This window comes from Homo sapiens, chromosome 6, assembly GCF_000001405.40.
Source record: "Homo sapiens chromosome 6, GRCh38.p14 Primary Assembly".
NCBI classification, from domain to species: domain Eukaryota; kingdom Metazoa; phylum Chordata; class Mammalia; order Primates; family Hominidae; genus Homo; species Homo sapiens.
The window spans coordinates 167,136,234-167,150,023 of NC_000006.12; the positions used below are offsets into that span (position 1 = coordinate 167,136,234).

Genomic DNA, 13,790 nt, shown 5'->3' on the forward strand with positions numbered 1-13,790 from the left:
TTCCAGGAATCAATGAATTTCAGCGATGTTTTCGACTCCAGTGAAGATTATTTTGTGTCAGTCAATACTTCATATTACTCAGTTGATTCTGAGATGTTACTGTGCTCCTTGCAGGAGGTCAGGCAGTTCTCCAGGCTATTTGTACCGATTGCCTACTCCTTGATCTGTGTCTTTGGCCTCCTGGGGAATATTCTGGTGGTGATCACCTTTGCTTTTTATAAGAAGGCCAGGTCTATGACAGACGTCTATCTCTTGAACATGGCCATTGCAGACATCCTCTTTGTTCTTACTCTCCCATTCTGGGCAGTGAGTCATGCCACCGGTGCGTGGGTTTTCAGCAATGCCACGTGCAAGTTGCTAAAAGGCATCTATGCCATCAACTTTAACTGCGGGATGCTGCTCCTGACTTGCATTAGCATGGACCGGTACATCGCCATTGTACAGGCGACTAAGTCATTCCGGCTCCGATCCAGAACACTACCGCGCAGCAAAATCATCTGCCTTGTTGTGTGGGGGCTGTCAGTCATCATCTCCAGCTCAACTTTTGTCTTCAACCAAAAATACAACACCCAAGGCAGCGATGTCTGTGAACCCAAGTACCAGACTGTCTCGGAGCCCATCAGGTGGAAGCTGCTGATGTTGGGGCTTGAGCTACTCTTTGGTTTCTTTATCCCTTTGATGTTCATGATATTTTGTTACACGTTCATTGTCAAAACCTTGGTGCAAGCTCAGAATTCTAAAAGGCACAAAGCCATCCGTGTAATCATAGCTGTGGTGCTTGTGTTTCTGGCTTGTCAGATTCCTCATAACATGGTCCTGCTTGTGACGGCTGCAAATTTGGGTAAAATGAACCGATCCTGCCAGAGCGAAAAGCTAATTGGCTATACGAAAACTGTCACAGAAGTCCTGGCTTTCCTGCACTGCTGCCTGAACCCTGTGCTCTACGCTTTTATTGGGCAGAAGTTCAGAAACTACTTTCTGAAGATCTTGAAGGACCTGTGGTGTGTGAGAAGGAAGTACAAGTCCTCAGGCTTCTCCTGTGCCGGGAGGTACTCAGAAAACATTTCTCGGCAGACCAGTGAGACCGCAGATAACGACAATGCGTCGTCCTTCACTATGTGATAGAAAGCTGAGTCTCCCTAAGGCATGTGTGAAACATACTCATAGATGTTATGCAAAAAAAAGTCTATGGCCAGGTATGCATGGAAAATGTGGGAATTAAGCAAAATCAAGCAAGCCTCTCTCCTGCGGGACTTAACGTGCTCATGGGCTGTGTGATCTCTTCAGGGTGGGGTGGTCTCTGATAGGTAGCATTTTCCAGCACTTTGCAAGGAATGTTTTGTAGCTCTAGGGTATATATCCGCCTGGCATTTCACAAAACAGCCTTTGGGAAATGCTGAATTAAAGTGAATTGTTGACAAATGTAAACATTTTCAGAAATATTCATGAAGCGGTCACAGATCACAGTGTCTTTTGGTTACAGCACAAAATGATGGCAGTGGTTTGAAAAACTAAAACAGAAAAAAAAATGGAAGCCAACACATCACTCATTTTAGGCAAATGTTTAAACATTTTTATCTATCAGAATGTTTATTGTTGCTGGTTATAAGCAGCAGGATTGGCCGGCTAGTGTTTCCTCTCATTTCCCTTTGATACAGTCAACAAGCCTGACCCTGTAAAATGGAGGTGGAAAGACAAGCTCAAGTGTTCACAACCTGGAAGTGCTTCGGGAAGAAGGGGACAATGGCAGAACAGGTGTTGGTGACAATTGTCACCAATTGGATAAAGCAGCTCAGGTTGTAGTGGGCCATTAGGAAACTGTCGGTTTGCTTTGATTTCCCTGGGAGCTGTTCTCTGTCGTGAGTGTCTCTTGTCTAAACGTCCATTAAGCTGAGAGTGCTATGAAGACAGGATCTAGAATAATCTTGCTCACAGCTGTGCTCTGAGTGCCTAGCGGAGTTCCAGCAAACAAAATGGACTCAAGAGAGATTTGATTAATGAATCGTAATGAAGTTGGGGTTTATTGTACAGTTTAAAATGTTAGATGTTTTTAATTTTTTAAATAAATGGAATACTTTTTTTTTTTTTTTAAAGAAAGCAACTTTACTGAGACAATGTAGAAAGAAGTTTTGTTCCGTTTCTTTAATGTGGTTGAAGAGCAATGTGTGGCTGAAGACTTTTGTTATGAGGAGCTGCAGATTAGCTAGGGGACAGCTGGAATTATGCTGGCTTCTGATAATTATTTTAAAGGGGTCTGAAATTTGTGATGGAATCAGATTTTAACAGCTCTCTTCAATGACATAGAAAGTTCATGGAACTCATGTTTTTAAAGGGCTATGTAAATATATGAACATTAGAAAAATAGCAACTTGTGTTACAAAAATACAAACACATGTTAGGAAGGTACTGTCATGGGCTAGGCATGGTGGCTCACACCTGTAATCCCAGCATTTTGGGAAGCTAAGATGGGTGGATCACTTGAGGTCAGGAGTTTGAGACCAGCCTGGCCAACATGGCGAAACCCCTCTCTACTAAAAATACAAAAATTTGCCAGGCGTGGTGGCGGGTGCCTGTAATCCCAGCTACTTGGGAGGCTGAGGCAAGAGAATCGCTTGAACCCAGGAGGCAGAGGTTGCAGTGAGCCGAGATCGTGCCATTGCACTCCAGCCTGGGTGACAAAGCGAGACTCCATCTCAAAAAAAAAAAAAAAAAAAAAGGAAAGAACTGTCATGTAAACATACCAACATGTTTAAACCTGACAATGGTGTTATTTGAAACTTTATATTGTTCTTGTAAGCTTTAACTATATCTCTCTTTAAAATGCAAAATAATGTCTTAAGATTCAAAGTCTGTATTTTTAAAGCATGGCTTTGGCTTTGCAAAATAAAAAATGTGTTTTGTACATGAAGTAGGAATCGTATTTCAGCTTCAAGGTTCAGATTGAGGGGCCCACTGTTTGGAGAGGATGGTATTCAGGCTTTCTCATGTCCTTCAAATCTGTTAGCGTTTGACTCTAGAAATCAAAGCAAAGGAGTGGTTACCCAGACACTTCTTTTGGTGTGATCAATGCGCTGATGTGATCTATGAAGATGATTCATGCTTGAAAACTAGCACAGAAACATCTTGCTTATTTGCCAAAGCTGGGAGATGAGCTTCTCTGCATAATTTAAATGTTCAGATAAATGAAGCTGACTTATTTAAGCAATAACCTTTTAAACATTTTAGCTAAGATGTATAAAAATGTTTCCAAAATATACCACATACTTTATTTCTTCTTAAATGTAGTACATTAGGTTACATCATTTTTCTTGCTGTCTTGGGCATCAAAACAGGTGCCATGGTAACCTGACACTCTCAGGAGACATTAAGATAGAAGGGGCTGTTCTTCAGTGGTTCCCATTGATTCTCCCCATATCTTTTTGCTCTCAGGCTCTGGCCGTCTCTTCCTGAGCCTTAACTGTGTCTGCCGTTAGTCCTCCTCTCCACTCATTGCAAACATTATTCTATATGTTTGGTGGGGACATCAGCTATCTGCGCTTGTCAGAATTGTCTATTAATAGGGGCAATGTGTTAGAACCTCCAAGTATTCAATTATTTCTGGATACGTGAGATCTTACTGTATGTAAATCTCAACATTTAGGTACTTAAGTATTACCTTGCAAACTGTACGTGATTTGCTTCTCAGGACAGACAGACTGGATTTTAAATGAGGCCAGAAAAACACAATATTTTCAAATCCTTTTAAGACTTGTGGTGATGTGTGCAAATTACAGGCATTCTGGAGATATGTGTACAGAGAATGTGGTCTCAATGAACGCAGTGTACATGCTATAGTCTGCTAGGACATTAGTTTGCTGGGGCTGCCCTAACAAAATACTACAGACTGAGTGGCTTAAACAACACATTTATTTCTCACATTTTTAGAGGCTGGTTAAGGTGTTGGCAGGGTTGGTTTCTCCTGAGGCCTCAAATGGCTTTTCCTCTGTGAGCTGACGCTTCTTATAAGGACACTAGTCAGATTGGATTACAGCCCACCGAAAAGGCCCTTTTAACTTAATCACCGGTTTAAAATCCCAGTCTCTAAATATCACAACTTTCTGAGATACTGAGGGTTGGGACTTTGACATATGAATTTTAAGGGGACACCATCCAGCCCCTAACATCTATTTCCCTGAAGGTGGGGCATATTTTCCTATTAAAGTTAACCTGAAACATGTGAGAATTTCTTTGTACATACTTTCCGCCTTTCCAATAAGTTATGTTCCAAACATTCATTCCCATTTCGGCTTTTCAGGTGCAGACCTCACAGAGAGATGACAGAGAAGGGTTGTGGTCCCCAGTGAGACAACGCCTGCCTATCTAACCTGCACAGCCTTGAGCTCCAGCACCCACCCGTGCACAGCCTTGAGCTCCAGCACCCACCCGTGGTGCAAGTTTCAGTATCTGATCCCAGTGGTTCACCTACTGCCCTGACCTCTGCCCTGAGGTGTGGCATCTCCTCCCTTCCCAGTTCTCTGACAGGGAAGTGGGGAATTTCCCCAAGTCTGAGTGGCCTCCATATTCAAAGCAGAGACATCCCCCTCTCAGCTGTGGACCTAGGGATGGTGATCTCAGCTGTGGCAGCAGAAAGCAGCTGTGATAGCCCAGGGGAGGCCAGGCCCTATTCTGCCCCCTATTTGTATAAACAGAGCATTCAAGGCTCATGACTTCAGCGGGGCTCTCTGTTGTCTTAATCTCATTCTTGGGGCACATTCTCCTGTAGGACACAGAAGGAGGTGGCATTTTACATTTACCATTAGATGATTTGAGTCATTGCAGCCTCACAGCACAGCTGCCCTGATGCATTCTACATTCTGCTGGCTGCTGTGTGGAGAACCTGACATGTTCATGGTCTTTGTGCTCAGGGATTTCACGGAATAAAGAGGCTGCAGCATTCGGATGAAGGCCACCCTCGCTCTGGCATGTTTGCAGAGCTTGGGGTGGTCTGCATTCTACATTCCGCTGGCTGCTCTGAGAATCTGATGCACTCAGTCTTTGTGATCTCACAGAATAAAGAGGCTGCAGCATTCGGACGAAGGCCCCTCGCTCTGGTGTGTTTGCAGAGCTCAGGGTGGTTTGCTGTGACCTGATTTCATGCTTATGACTCAGTATGCACAGCTGCAATCTTCTTCCTTGTGTTGCATTTGCCAATAGCATGATATTCCTGATGCCTTATTTAGGTAAATCCATATAAGAGCTAAGGCAGGAACGATTTATTTTCTACTTCTTGGCTGATTCCTCTCTTCATTGAGAGTCCAGGTGGACAGTCAGGAATGATGGGCAGAGTGCTGTTCTCCTCACCTCGAGGCTGTCCTCAGCACAAGGGAGCTGTTGTACCTCCTTCCAGCCCATTTCCATTCTAGACAACAAGAAGCAGGATGCGGGAAGCAGGTGGCCTTAAAGACACAACTGGAAAGCTGTGGAAATCATTTCTGCTCCCAAGGTGGGAGCCTTCACTTAGTCACATGGTTACAGCCAGGTGAAAGAAAGTCTGGGATGCTCTTCAGCGGGTGGCCGTGTGTCCATGTGCACGCAGTAATCACAAACACACCATGTAAGAAGGGGGAGAGATACTGAGAAAACCACTTTCATGGAGGGGAGGCAGCCGGACTCCTCTCTTTAACCAGAGGGGAGGGTCTGCATCTCCCCAGCTGTAGGTAAGCGGTAGCCGAGGCAGCCCACTAGGCCAAGGCCACTCAGGAGATATGGCTGGCCCTGTGCAGCAAGTCTAGGGTCACCTGGGATGCGCCCTGTACACAGGGGCCTCTTCTCCTGTAGCCCACTAATAATTACCACAGTGCCCACAGCCGGTCCATCTAAATGTTCAGAATACTGTATTTAGAATTAGTGTTAACATTTGAATAAGGTTTCATTTTTCTGCCTAACATTGAAAGATGAACTGGATTCTTGGATGTCACATAACATTTTGGGGTCCCCTTTCTGAACCTAGAATGTAAATAGATGAGCTAGCACTTCTCTTCACGCCAGTGGGGAGCAAATGCGATTCCTAAAGTCCTGGCTTCACCAGGAGCCGAGCTCCTGAGCCTTCCAGGGGTGCCTCTGCCCTGGACAGGGCGCTGCTGCCCTCTGGTGCGCGAGCCGCCTCCCAGCGCCTGCACCTGCTCCTGGAGACGCTCACCTTCCCGGCTGTTGCCCTAATTCTGCAACGTGTCAAAGGACAAATGTCACATGTATGTCTTAGCGGGGAAACTCTACAGTTTATTTTGGATAATAAGTATGTGAAATTAATACAATCTTATACTATCTTCTTGCACCCGTGGCGTAAAATCTTCAGAAAAATATCACTGCACTATTGCTGCTGTTCATTTTTCTCCTTGTTGCTTTTAACATTCACAATAGTAGATTGGCTCTTTCCTTTTTATTTTATTTTATTTTTTTGCTATGTGAACATATACATAGCAGAATAAATATATGTATAAATCAGGAAATACAGCATCTATATATTTTTATGGCAGATAATGTAGAATGACTTTTAGGATATTAAGTTAATAAAAAGAAGATATGTAAAATGATGTAATCTCTACTCACCAAGAATTCATTATGCAAGTCCAAAATTAAGGAGAAAGGTAAATAAACATTCCAGGCAACCTCCCTTTTCCACCTTTGTGAATCACGGCACATCTGATTGTGCACTAGGATGGCAGAGGAGTGTGTGTGACCCTGGGCGAGCTGGCTTTCATGGTGGTCCTTGCTGCCTTTGGGCCCCCAGGTGTCCAGGTGGGGCAGGAGAGGTGGTGCTGCCTGGAGGCAGCCTCTCCTTAGGAAAAGCCTTCTCAGGACCCCTGTCCCTCTAGTCCTCTGCAGACCTGACTTGACACCATCTCACACGGATGCATGAGAGGCCGTGGCCAGGGGTGCCCTCTGAGAACCAGCCCCCTGGCCCTGTCCTTCAGCCTTCTGGGCCTCCTTACTTACTTTTCTCCAGGGAATGTGATAGAGACAACGTGGCTGGCGGCGGGGCTGGGGGTGCAACCAGGGGAGAGCTCGTGCTCTGAGATCTCTCCCGTTAGCTGTTTGCTCTGCTCGCCGCTCACTCTAACCAGCTACAGAGCATCTATTCTGTGGTGTGGGCAGCTGCCCACCACCCTTGCCTCCTGGGTCCATGGCTGAGCCACCTTGTGCAGCCCCTGGGGACTCTGTGGGGCATGGGACTGAGGTCTGGCTGGAGATGCCTGAACACAGGTGAAACGCATCATTTCCAGGTCTGGTGCACAAAACCACTCGCTTTCTCCTGAAGGCCGGAGGGAGCAGGCACAGGAGACCTTGGAAACAGCTGCTGGAAACAGCAGAACCTGAATACACTGACCCTCCATGTGCCTGGTGCTACTGTGTGAGCAAGAAATGAACTTCTGTTGGGTTTGAGTCAACCTACATTGAATTTTGTTTCATGATTTACTCATCCGAGGCATGGGCCATCGTTCTGAGCTGTCCCCAGGCCTGACTCTCCATGGCTCTGGCTGAGGTCCTTCCACCCGCCCTCCTTCCTCCCCACTCACGTGTGCCCATCAGCCTTGGTGGAAGCTTTGCTCAGGAGATGTGGTGTTGCAGGGGCTCTGCCATCTTCTGTGGCCAGTTCCAGGGCCCAGGGCATTGGCTCTCCCCCAACCCTTTGTCGCCAGTTTCAAAGGTGGAAGCCACCCTCCCCAGCAAAGGTGGACCTGGCCTGGGCTGTGCCTGTTGATTGTCCTAAACTCCACTCCCTAGCGGTGCTGCACACCCACACCCCTGCCCTGGGCCTGCCGTGGGTCAAGTGGAAGATTGTTCCCATCAAATAGTAAAGAGGAAAGTGAGATGGATGCAAATCCCAAACCCCACTTCCGTATTCTGCCCTCTCTCCACCTGGTCTTCTGCCTGTTTCCAATGCTCCCATTCACTCTGGAGCCCCTGGAGTTTGGCCCCTGCCCCCATCCCACCAAGCTGTCTTCAAGAAGGCTGCCCTGTGCCCTATGCAGCCAATGCAGCAGACGCCTCTCAGCTGCCTCCTGCAGGTAGCACGAGCCCTTCTCCAGGGCCCGGGCAGTGGGCTTTGCTCTCCTCCCTCTCAGGTGGGCAGCTCCATCTCTGCCTCACTTTGGCCCCTCCAACTTTATTTGACCCTGACATGCAGTGGTGCTCCTGACGCCAGGTGGGGTTTCTCTTTCTCCTCTCCCTGCATCCTCTCCCCAGGCCACCCTATCTCCCCTGGACTTCAGGACGGCACACAGGCCGATGGCACCAGCATGTGCATCTCAACTCTAGATCTTCCTCAAGGACCCTGCCAGGCCTGACCCCGTGCAGTCCTCATTGCCCCTCTCCTCCATCTTCTTCCCTTCCTGCTGCAAGTCCGGCCCCATGGCTGTGCCCCTTCTTCCCTAGGTCATGTCTTCCCTGCCCTGGGACAGCCGCCTCTACCTGGCACTCATCTCTGGCTCCTCGGCGTGGATCAGGTGGGCTCACCCTGCAAGGTTGTACATGTGGACCCTCCTGCCAATGCTGCACCCTCTTCTTGGCCTCCTTGCTTCACATACACTCACCTATCTGCCTGTTCATGGATTTGTCCTGTGCATCTTACTTTCCATAGCCTGTGTCCCCAATGGAGGTGAAGCAGAGTTAGGGATGCATTGTGTCATAAGGAGTCATGCACTCAAGACCTACATGCAGTTATTATGCAGGTAAAGAAAAGGCTCTTAGTACCACTTCAAGGGCCATGTCCGTCCAACCATCCTTGACTTCTTGGTTTGGGCTGCACTTGTGATTCCATTGTGCTTTGTAAATAAATACCACCTAGAGCAATTACAAATGCATCACCTTTATTTTTGTTTGCATGATAAGAGGCCCCTAAAGTGAGTTCTTTGGCAGGGAATAGCTTTTCAATTCTGAGTCCCTAGTTTGAGAAACATCCATCAGGCATATAATTGTCACTCAGATGTTTTCTTCTGCGTAAACTCTTCAGTCCAATCTACAGCATGAACATCACTGTTCCAGGCTTGTCTCGGTAAGATGAGTCACAGGGGCAGGTGAGATGTCCTGAGGTTGCATCGTGGAATAAGCAGTGAATTTATTAAGCCATGGTTAGTAGTAATAAGCTGAATGCGAGGTGGGTCAAAGCAACATGTGCTATTATCTGAGTCTGTTTTGATGCCATATTTCTCGGAGAAGCAAATGTGTAACCCTCTTTTTGGGTATTACTTAGATCTTGTCTTTTAAATGGCAGGTTTGGCTTCCTTAACTCTCGCCTAGAGATTTTCAGACCACGTCAATATTTTGCAACCAAAGGAGGGATGCTGGGCCGGCTGGCTGCCAACCATGACTACCCCGAGGCTCCTGCTGGCTGTTACAGTTGTCATGGTTCAGAGGGCAGCTGGGGCCCCAGAGGGTCTCAGTGAGGGTGGGCGGGGCTGAGGGGAGGGCGCTCACCTACCCGCCACCAGCGCCCAGTGGGGCCACTCCATCTGCCGGCTGGATATGAACGGGTGTTGCGCCTGTGGTGGTTCCAGATCAGTCTGTGTCATCTTCCATCCCCACCCCTCTGCCACCCATGAAGGGTGGTGGGTGTCCTCTGCCCCGTCTGCTAATGAAGCTATTTTCATCAGTTCCCCCACCCCACTCACTCCTTACGTACCAAGCAATTCGGTGATGAAGTCACTGGTTTCCAGTACATTGCCTACATTTTAATTCTTTGTTTCCTTTCTTTCCTTTTTTTTTTAAAGCAGGTTTTCATTTGTGACCTTCATATTGGCAAAAGAAACAATTAATGCATTTTTCTAGACAGCAAGCTCTTAAAATTGTAGGATTCTGGTGTTCGAAATTTTTTGAAACACAAAATGTTTTGTAATACAATAAAAGCTCTAACTGCTTTTAGCCTGTTGTAGGTAAAATAATGCAATCACACGTGTGCTCCAGGCACCGTGGACTCATTATGGAACAGGATTGGAGCCTTTTGAAAACAGATGTATGAGGAGGGCTTCAGAGTTTTAGTAAATATGAGAAGAAGGAGTCATTAAAGACGAGGGTGTTTCCTTTCCCGGAGGAATTTTTCTAGCCATTCATGTGCACACAGAAACCAAAACCCTCCGCGCAGGTTCTTCTGCGCACTGCGCTGCTCCCAGCGCAGAGGGGCCGTGTTCCGGGAACACGTTTCCTGCTCTAAAACGTCCGGTGTGTTCCGGCCCAAGTGCCTGCTCAGGTTTAAAGGGGGTTTCTTTTGCTAGTACTTAAAAAAGTTAAAAATAATCACTACTATTAAATAGATCTTTAGTGTGTTTTAAATGGCAAAAGCACTTCACTCAGAATTGGTGATTCTGTTTCATGCGTGTGTTAAGTGGGGATAGGTTTGTGGCAAGAGTTGGATGCTGTTATCTTGCTGAATGGAGAAAGTATAATGTAAGTATATAGCTAATAGAGCAATTTGAGTTTCTGGGCCCTGTCCAGAGGTCAATAGGAAATCTGGTGAATTTTCATTTTTTAATAGCACTATACAAATATACGACTGGTGTGGTGTTGCGTGAGAAGTGTTTGGTTTGGTGTAGAACAGAGCCCATGCCACAGCTCTGGGGGCCGCAGAGCACAGCAGGATTTAGTAGGGCCGTCTGGGGGTCGCCGTGCTGTGTAATGCGGGGGGCACTGGGAGGGAGGAGAGGAAAGCCTTAAAGTAAGAGGCACAAAGCACACGAGGGTGAGAGAAGCTGCAGGTGGTGAAAATGGAAATGAAGGGTTAAAAGGAAACCTTTTGAAAATCTGCACCGCCAGCCATCCCCGAAATCGCTGCCTCTGGGGAACTGGAGAGCACAGCACATTCCTGTCAGCCGCGGCTCTCCAGGAAGGCAGAATCACAAGCGGTGCATGTAGATTAAGGGATTTATTTAAAGGCATTGGTGCCCAAGCTTGAGTTGGGCGAGTCTGAGACCCGCAGGGCAGGCTGGCAGGCGGGAAACTCAAGCGCAGTTTGTACCTTACAGAATGCAGGCGGGAATTCCTTCTCCAGGAACCCGCGGTTTTTGTTCTTAAAGCCAAGGGATTGGATGAGGCCCACACACATTGCGGAGGGTCACCTGCTCTACTCAGAGTCAACTGAGAACAGGCGCTCATCACAGCCTCCGCATACCCCCGCAGCAGCGTCTAGACTTGCGTCTGACCATCGGGCACCATGGCCCAGCCAGGTTCACATATGAGATTAAGCATCACACTTCCCAAGGAAGGGACACCAAAATTATGTTTGAAACCCAGTGAGGTGTGGTCCACACACATACATGCCTGCAGGGACGAGGCAGGGACCTGAATGAGAGAAGGGTGAGCACAACCCACTTCTGGGCGCCAGCTCCTCGGTCCAGCCAACGCAGAGCAGAGTGAGGGCCCAGGGCTTGCAAATCTTCTGGTGTTCAAGAAGAGCTGAAAATCTAGCCTTTTAAAAATGCAGAGCCTCACTTGAAAGTAGGTGATGTAATATAATTTTAATATATTCACTAACTATAATGTGAACGTTTTAAAATTATTTGTGAGCCAATCAAAATCTGTCAGTCAGCTGAATTTAGGCCTTGGGCAGCCAGTTAAAGGGTTGTGAAATGAACGGTATTTGAGTGGTCAATACACAGCCGCCAGCTCGGGAGCTTGCTCCCCACCCTAGCTGCCAGGTCTGTGATGAGAAAGCAGGTGTTCTTGGCCTAACAGAGAGTGCATGTCTCGATCTAATGCCTTCTCTCCTTCCCTCTCACCTGCTTCCTCCTCCTCCCTCTTCTCCCTCTGTAGACAGAGATGCCTCTTGCCTGGAAGGGCTGCCTTGGCATCTAGGAGCAAAGGGAAACTCTCTGGGGCTGATTTCCATCCCACTCTTGTCTCCAGAAGCTGCTAGAGATGTAAAGTGAAAATGATAGAAGAAATGTCACAGAAGGAAAACTCAATTCCCTTGTTGACTCAAAGTGGCACATTAAGCAAACTGTCACTTTTGATTGAAGATGTGGGGAGCATTTTGTTCTCCTTTCCATGGGCTGAGCTGGGCTGACAGAGAGGATTCCTTCATGTGCTCCAAGTGACCACAGCCTGAACTGGCAGCCACATCCCAGGGGAGGAGGTTGACACACACAAAGTTGGTGGTCTTGGCCCAACTCAGTTCCTTGGCAAACTCAGTTTTTTTGTCCTTGTATGACTTTTGGAAGCAGGTGGCTGCTGGGAAATGCAGTCCCTAGGTTTCACCAGCAGATAGGAGAGAGGGCAGAGCCATCCCCTAGAGCCTACATTTGGCATTTGAGTCCTAGTCTTGTCCCTTGCTGGTTGTGTGAGTTTGTGTGAGTTATTCCAACTCTCACATTTCCAGTTTGCTTATCTGTAAAATGGGTATTAATGATAGTACTTATCCCATGTGTGTTTAAGATGAAGATGGGTTATAGGCAAGAAAGCCAGGGTAGGCAGGGTGGAAACTGGTTATCATCTGCTAATCAGCCGTGGAGGAGACCCAGCCTCTTCCCCAATTCCTACAATTCCTACCATGTTGGACTCAGTTGGCTTAACTTAGGAAACAAGAAGTAGTTTGGGCCCAATATTAATGCTGCTATCCTTTATTGGAATGTTAAATACAACAGAACAACTGTTTCATGTTATTGTATACTTTTGGAATAAAATCTATAAAAGAGAAATCCTCTAGCACTTTTTGGTTGCTAACTCTTACATATGTAAGTTTTCTTTTCATTTAAAATATTCTCCAAAAATAATCTTAAGTTCCCATATCTGTAGATGCATTGCTGTTTTATTCACTCATTACAAAAAGAGAGTCTGATCGATTGAGGGTACAGAATTCAATGTTTCCCAAACATACTTCATCATGGAACTTTCCTGTGGGGCATCTCCAAGGACAAGCGTTGGCATGAACTCACATTGAAGGAGGCTGCTTTAGCAATTCAACGTTTCCAAGAACCTTATTGGGTACAGATTAGTATGACCTCATTTTTATAGACACGGAAACAAGGTGGTTATGTGACTTGCCGGAGAGTGTAAGTTACAAGTGACACATGGAGAACCTGGAATTTTAACCCAAGGATGTCTGGCTTCATGCACCATCTACCTCAGCCTCTTGCCTTGTTTTAGTTCTTTGGAAATTAAAGGCCTTGTCTTTGTCATCCTACAGTTACTACATGATCATGCTGTGGAGCATTTCACTGAGTTTCTTCTGGGTGCCTGGATTTTGTGACCGTTTGGTGGCCTTTAAGAAGAGACTTTATGGTAAGATGTTTCTGAAAGTTTCCACCAGGTGCAGGTGATGCATTTGAGTTGACAGCAAGCAAGCGTGCTGCCAGGGTCAAACGCTGGCCAGGACCACAGGCTTCCAGCACCTTCCCGAGCCCAAGCTCAGGATCTGTTCTCCTTGCCAACACTTGTAGATGTTTTTCTATTGGGGTATGCAGGAAATTCTTCTTTGGATGGCTTTAATATATTTCAGTTCTGTCCTAGCCTTCTATTCTGCATGTGTGACAGCAGGTCGAGAGCGGCACGACCTGTGGGGACTGATGGCACAGCAGACAAGGGGGCATGGGCAGTGACGTTCTGGAGAGTCGGCTGTGAAATATTCAGGAATTTGGACAGCCAGTTGTTAAAACTGTTGGTAGCTTATTATCAGCCATGCTGGGAGTATATATACACTGGAAATTGGAAAATGCTACAAGTCAAAACTGCTGCTGCTTTTCTTTTTCCACAGAGAGTCAGTTTTGCCAGTACACCTCTGGATATAAAGAAAATCAAAATATAAGTGAGCAAAAATAAGC

At 46.7% G+C, this 13,790-nt stretch overlaps 1 protein-coding gene and 1 long non-coding RNA gene across 4 annotated transcripts in view, besides 2 other annotated features; one reads left to right on the forward strand and one right to left on the reverse strand.

The window, feature by feature from the left end:
- CCR6 (C-C motif chemokine receptor 6) overlaps window positions 1–2,908 on the forward strand; it is a 27,347-nt gene extending 24,439 nt beyond the window's left edge. For all 3 annotated transcript variants that reach the window (NM_004367.6, NM_001394582.1, NM_031409.4), the window contains one exon: window positions 7–2,908. In NM_004367.6, the coding sequence (NP_004358.2) occupies window positions 7–1,122 (1,116 nt within the window). In that variant the 3' untranslated portion in view covers window positions 1,123–2,908. The remainder of the gene's footprint in view (window positions 1–6) is intronic.
- LOC112267970 (uncharacterized) lies at window positions 2,076–5,118 on the reverse strand. The gene is made up of 2 exons (XR_002956379.2): window positions 4,794–5,118; window positions 2,076–4,302 (listed from the first exon to the last, which is right to left on the reverse strand). It is a non-coding gene; the product is annotated as an uncharacterized LOC112267970 (long non-coding RNA).
- Window positions 6,495–7,423: an enhancer, noted in NCBI's record as "H3K4me1 hESC enhancer chr6:167556216-167557144 (GRCh37/hg19 assembly coordinates)". NCBI's record gives its function as "activates a minimal SCP1, AML or CMV promoter by ChIP-STARR-seq in naive H9 embryonic stem cells {active_cell/tissue: H9 hESC(naive)}" and the evidence as "EXISTENCE:reporter gene assay evidence [ECO:0000049][PMID:30033119]".
- Window positions 7,424–8,352: an enhancer, noted in NCBI's record as "H3K4me1 hESC enhancer chr6:167557145-167558073 (GRCh37/hg19 assembly coordinates)". NCBI's record gives its function as "activates a minimal SCP1, AML or CMV promoter by ChIP-STARR-seq in naive H9 embryonic stem cells {active_cell/tissue: H9 hESC(naive)}" and the evidence as "EXISTENCE:reporter gene assay evidence [ECO:0000049][PMID:30033119]".